Source organism: Homo sapiens, chromosome 18 (genome assembly GCF_000001405.40).
Source record: "Homo sapiens chromosome 18, GRCh38.p14 Primary Assembly".
Lineage (NCBI taxonomy): Eukaryota > Metazoa > Chordata > Mammalia > Primates > Hominidae > Homo > Homo sapiens.
In genome coordinates, this window is record NC_000018.10 from 35,825,465 (window position 1) to 35,831,870 (window position 6,406).

Genomic DNA, 6,406 nt, shown 5'->3' on the forward strand with positions numbered 1-6,406 from the left:
GGCTGAAGTGCAGTGGCACGATCACGGCTCACTGCAGCATCGACCTCCTGGGTTCAAGCAATCCTCCCACCTCAGCCTCACAAGTAGCTGGGATTATAGGTGTGCGACACTATGCCTGGCTATTCTTTTTATTTTTTATTTTTTGGTAGAGACAGGGTCTTTCTATGTTGCCCAAGCTGCCCAACTGTGATTTAAAACAGCTCCGCCTCTGCTGCCTAGGATATTTACACCTGCCTAGGACCAAAACCCAGAGACACGGGCATTATATTTTAAGAGTCTAGAGTGGCCAAGTGTGGGGGCTTACGCCTGTAATCCCAGCACTTTGGGAGGCTGAGGTGGGTGAATCACTTGAGGCCAGGAGTTCTAGACCAGCCTGGCCAACATGGCAAAACCCTGTCTCTACTAAAAATACAAAAATTAGCCCGGCTCAGTGGTACGTGCCTGTGGTCCCAGCTACTCGGGAGGCTGAGCCATGAGAATTGCTTGAATCCAGGAAGCAGAGGTTTCAGTGAGCCGAGATCACGCCACTGCACTCCAGCCTGGGTGACAGAGCAAGACTCAGTCTCAAAAAGAAAAAAAAAAGAGTCTAGGGTCATGTGACGTCTCTTCCAGACAGCTGAAGACAAGAGACCTAAACAGGGACCTAAGAGCACCCAAATATCCCACAGTCTAGGGTTTCCAAACAAATCTCTCAGAACCTCAAGGGGAAAGCTGAAGAGTCACCTCTCCTCTCAGAACCAGAATTACTTGCCTCCCTTTGAACAGTCTTAATGAAATGGAAATGTTAGGAGGCAGGAAAACAGAAATCAGCTCAAGGTTTCCTCCCATCATTTATTCCCTATGAAAATTCAGAACCAATTAGAGAACATTTTCTAATAATAAACTCACTGTCACCAGTGGTGTTAGCAAAACATAATCTGTCATTAAATTATTGTCCTTGAGTTTCGTTGATTTTATGGCTGAAATTTTATTTTGGTTTTCTATAGCCATGAGCATGTGTTTTATGTTGGCATTTGCTATAAAAAATAATTTAAATTCACACAGGGAGTCTGAAGGGGGTCTGTACCCTTGCTCAAAGTTGAAAAACACTGCCTTAATGTATTGTACTGTACAGACTTTGGAGAGCAGCAGTAATGAGAAAAGGAAAGCCAGGCCCCAGCTCAGACATGCTGTGTACTGCTGCCCCAGAGAGAGGAACTGGGAACCAGCACTGGTGACATTCACTCCAGGGGGCTGTGGGGTAGGTGTGGGAGGGTTGCTCCAGGAATGTACAAGGGGGTAACTGCACCATACCGTGCAGCACTCAGGACTCTCATCTGCTAGTGGCAGACATCTCAACTAAGACTGGCTCAGGCCCATAGGGAATATCCCTGCTTTGGGAGGGCCCCAAGCCAGCTGGAATCTCCAGGATAAGTTCAGGACCCTTCCTTCTTTTGCCCTGATGCCCTCTGCATTTAGTTCCATTTTGGCCAACATCAGGAGGGATTCCTCCACTGGGGAGTGGGGGCAAAGCTTCAATTTAACATCTTCCCATCTTGGCACCCACAACAGAAGTAACCTTATTTCTTCCATGGTCTGCATATTATCTGGCCAAGAGCATGTAGACCAGCTTAAATCCAGGAAATAGCCCAGACCTGAATCCTGTGCCTGTCCCATGGCCAATGAGAAGGGGCTGGTACTACAAAAAGGGGATGAAGGGGAAACTATGCTGACCAAGGCAATAGCCCCATCATTCACCACCCTAGTGTGCCTGCTGGACATGTTTCCATAAACCCCAGTCCCTCAGCAATACCAAATACTGGCAGGCAGAGTGGTACCCTGTGGAAGTATTAAAGAAAAAATTGTTTCTACATTTATTAAAATAAGGAAGAATTTATTCAAGACTATTACAATAAGATTATTTCAATAGAGATGAGAGATTGGGCTCAACTTTGAATACAGCAAGGACCAGCAGGTATTGATAGCTGTAGGAGACCAGAATATGACATCTCCAAATATGACTGCAGAGAACCAGAATATGTCACCCCAAGACAGGCCTTTTTGTCATAAGAATAATTTTAAGAAACTGCAGTCACAGGAGAAGCACTGAAAACAGAGTGGGAGTTACCCTTTTGTAAGGGAAATTTACATCTGTAAAGGAAATCTCCATTTGTAATGGTGCCCTCCTCTCTGTACCAGGAAAGAAGGATGACTAAGCCACTAGAGACTCTTACTGATGGAGAAAGCACTGACTTAAATTTGCATAACAAACCTTATCCTTGTTGACCAAGCTTTTTCTAGTCACCTTCCCATAATCCACCTCCCCCACACTCTTCTTGCTTTGTTTCAGCAGATAATGGTATTGAAGCCTGAATTTACAGGCAGCTCTCAGAGATTTATTCATTTCACTGGGCATGAAGCCAAGGGCAAACCTGACTAGGCTCTTCAGACTTTTACCTGCTTTTCTTGCTTTTAGCTGTTTTTTTGTTTGTTTTGGGTTTGTTTTGTTTTGTTTAAAGACTCCTTTCAGCCTCACTATAGATAACTTATCTGACTATGGGTCACAAAGGTAATGATTGCCTAAGTTGTTTTTCAGGAACTTAAAGTCAGCTCTTGTCCAGTTCAAACTGGTTGAAACCACCAACCCTTCAACTGGGCCTGTGTAAATGTCCAGTGGGTGACCTTTTGACATCAGAGACCTGAGAGCTCCAAACTCAGATCATGCTAACACTACCATTTTTCAAACATGCATCCTATGAAGAGCCATGAAGCTTGACTACGCTTATACAGAACACCGATTATCTCACTTTTCCTTATCCCCAATCACTTTTCCCCATGCCTCAGACCACTCTGCTCCTCTAACCCATAAATAACCCTAAACCCCATCTTTGGGGAGGCGATTTGAAATCTATTCTCTTGTCTTCTTGCTTGGCTGCCATGTGAATAAACCCTTTCTCTGCTGCAAAACTCATTGTCTCAGTGACTGGCATATTGCATGGCAGACAAAACAGGCCTGGTTCGGTAACAGGTATCTCCTGTGCATACATTAGGTATACATGCTATTAAACCCTGTATGTTTTTCTCTTGTAAATCTGTCATTTGTTACAGGAAGCCCTAGCTAAGAACTCAGAAAGGGTAGAGAGAAAATTATTTTTCCTCCCCACCAGTATAGCCAAGGAGCAAAGCAAGGAGGGTCAGTGGATGGAAAATTACTAAGAGGAGACATTAAAGACAGGGAGATTCTTGCTACACTGACTGAATAGGATTCTTGCCAAAGGCAAGCCAAGGACTTAGACATCAAAGATGGAGGGTGAGGAACTTGATCAGATATGAAGAGCGGAGGATTCTCTCTAAACTGACTTAGCAGGATTCTTGCTAAGACTGGGCTCTGCAGGCCTGGGAAGGACAAGACAGGCACAGAAGGCTAAGGCTGAGGCCAAGTCAAGAAGAGAGCTCCAAGGAACCTGACTAAAGTTTGATGAAGGAAAATTTGCCAGAAAAGTTACCTAACCTGGGGCTTGAAGGCACGAAGATCCAGGATAGAGGGGCTTTGGTCTCTACTGTTGGAGGGCAAAATCAATTGCAAGCATATGTTCCTGAGTGCTAATGCAGAATGGGGACACCGATAGGGAAGTCATGAAGCTGCTCTTGGGCTACGGGAACAACTTCCTGTAATCACCCAATGGGTTCGTCTTGTCCACTTCTTACCCAGAGCCAATTTATCAAGATGGAAATTGCAGTGAAGAAAGAGTAATTCACACAGAGTGGGCTGTATGAGAGACTGGAGTTTTATTATTACCCAAATCAGTCTCCCTAAGCATTCAGGGATCAGAGTTTTTAAGCATAATTTGGTAGGTGGGAGGCCATTGAGTTGGGAGTGCTGATTGGTTGGGTCAGAGATGAAATCATAGAGAGCAGAAGCTGTCCTCTTGCACCGAGTCAGTTCCTGGGTGGGGGCCACAAGACCAGATGAACCAGTTTATTGGTCTGGATGGTGCCAGCTGATTCATCCAGTGCAGGGGCTGCAAAATATCTCAAGGACTGATCTTAGGTTTTATAAGAGTGATATTATCCTCAGAAGCAATTTGGGGTGGGTCAGAATATTATAGCCTCCAGCTGCATGACTCCTAAATCGTAATTTCTAATCTTGTGGCTAATTTGTTAGTCCTACAAAGGCAGTCTAGTCCCCAGGCAGGAAGGGGTTTGTTTTGTCAAAGGGCTATTATCATCTTTGTTTCAAAGTTAAACTATAAACTGATTCTCCCAAAGTTAGTTCAGCCTGTGCCCAGGAATGAACAAGGACAGCTTAGAGTTTAGAAGCAAGATGGAGTTGATTAGGTCAGATCTTTTTCACTGTAATAATTTTCTCAGTTATAATTTTGCAATGACAGTTTCATTCCAAAAGTGTGAGGTCCCAAAACTAAAGCAAAAGATTACTGTGTGCCCCTTTAAACTCACAGGGGAGCATTGCTTAACATGGCTAGGGGGCAGTTGTTATCTAGAGAAACCTGGTTTGACATATTATTGTGTCAACCTAAATAACAGAGAGAGACTCTCTAAAAGCAAATGATACTTATTCAGGAATATAGCATTGCAATGCAACTATATGTGCCATAGTAAACTGTGTATTCAGGTAAGTAAAGGAAGACAAAGGTTTTTAATGGAAAATGAGAAGTGTAACTGGTGTTGACAGAAAGAGTCAAACTTTGTAAAATGTTTAAAGAGGTTTATTCTGAGCCAAGTATGAGTGCCTAAGGCCCAAGACACAGTCTCAAGAGGTCCTGAGATTGAAACCACCCTTGCAAAAACTGTAACTGAGGAAATTATGACAATGAAAGACATCAGACCTAACCAACTCCATCTTGCTTCTAACTTTTAAGCTGTCCTTGTTTATTCCTGGGCATAGGCCAAACTAAGCTTGGGAAAGAATTTAGTTTACGGTTTGACTCTGAAAAAAAAAAATTGTTAATAGCCCTTTCCTGAAAAGACCCCCTTCTTACCTGGGGACCAGTCTGCCTTTGCAGGACCAGCAAATTAGCTACAAGATTAGAAAGTACTGCCAGGCGCAGTGGCTCATGCCTGTAATCCCAGCACTTTGTGAGGCTGAGGTGGGAGGATCACTTCAGGTCAGGAGTTTGAGGTCAGCCTGGCCAACATGGTGAAACCCTGACTCTACCAAAAAAAAAAAAAGTTAGCTGGACATGGTGGTATGCACCTGTAGTCCCCAGCTATCAGGAGGCTGAGGCAGGAGAATTGCTTGAACCTGGGAGGCAGAGGGTACAGTGAGCCAAGATTGCACCACTGCATTCCAGCCTGGGTGACAGAGCAAGACTCAGTCTCAAAAAAGAAAAAGAAAGGAAAGAGAGAGAGAGAGAGAAAGGGAGAAAGGGAGACAGAGAGAGAGAGAGAGAGAAAGAAGGAGGGAGAGAAAGGGAGAGAGAGAGAGAGAAAAAGAGAAAGAGAGAGAGAGAGAAAGAGAAAGAGAACAAAAGAAGGAAGGAAGGAAGGAAATAAATTACAGTTTAGGGGTTATGCAGCCTCTTGCTGCAAGAGTCTGAAGCTCCCCAAATTGCTCCTGGGGATAACATTACTATTGCAAAACCTAAGATCAGTGTTTGATCTGCAGACCCTGAATTTGATGGATTAGCTGACACCACCCAGACCAGTAATCTGAATCAGTCAGTTCTGTGATCCCACCCAGGAACAGAAGACGGAAAGAAAATGTCACTTAGACCCCCCTATGATTCCATCTCCAACCTACCCAATCAGCACTCCCTACTTCCCAAGCTGCTTCCCACCAAATTATCTTTAAAAACTGCAATCCTCAAATGCTTGGGGAGACTGATTTGAGTAGTAATATAACTTTGGTCTCCTGCACAGCCAGCTCTGCATGAATTACTCTTTCTCCATTGTCCAGGCAGCAGGCAAGGTGAATCCATTGTATGGTTAGAAGAACATGTGCCTAAGGTGGCTGGGTTTTAGTTTGGCTTTATACATTTTAGGAAGACATAAGACATCAGTCAGTACATGTGAAGTATATATTGATTTTGTGCAGAAAGGTGGGACAACTTGAAGCAGGGGGCTTTCAGGTCATAGGTGGATTCAAGGATTTTCTCATTAGCAATTGCTTAAGAGAATTAAGTTATTATCTAAAGACTTAGAATCAATGGAAAGGGGTGTCTGGGTTAAGATAAGGAGTTGCAGAGATCAAGGTTCTTATTATGTAGATAAAGTTTCATGGGTGTCTCATAGATGTCTCTAAGGGAGTGCCTTAGAGATAATAGATGGCACGTTTTTCCTATTCAGACCTTTAAAAGGTGCTAGATGCTCAGTTAATCTCTTCAGGACTGGGAGAGCCTAGAATAGGAAAGATCTAGTTGTGTTAATATAGATTCTTTACAGATGCAAGTTTCCCCCTACAAAAGAT

The 6,406-nt window shown here is 43.7% G+C and overlaps 1 annotated feature.

The window, feature by feature from the left end:
* Positions 2,563-3,096: an enhancer, noted in NCBI's record as "NANOG-H3K27ac-H3K4me1 hESC enhancer chr18:33407991-33408524 (GRCh37/hg19 assembly coordinates)". NCBI's record gives its function as "activates a minimal SCP1, AML or CMV promoter by ChIP-STARR-seq in naive H9 embryonic stem cells {active_cell/tissue: H9 hESC(naive)}" and the evidence as "EXISTENCE:reporter gene assay evidence [ECO:0000049][PMID:30033119]".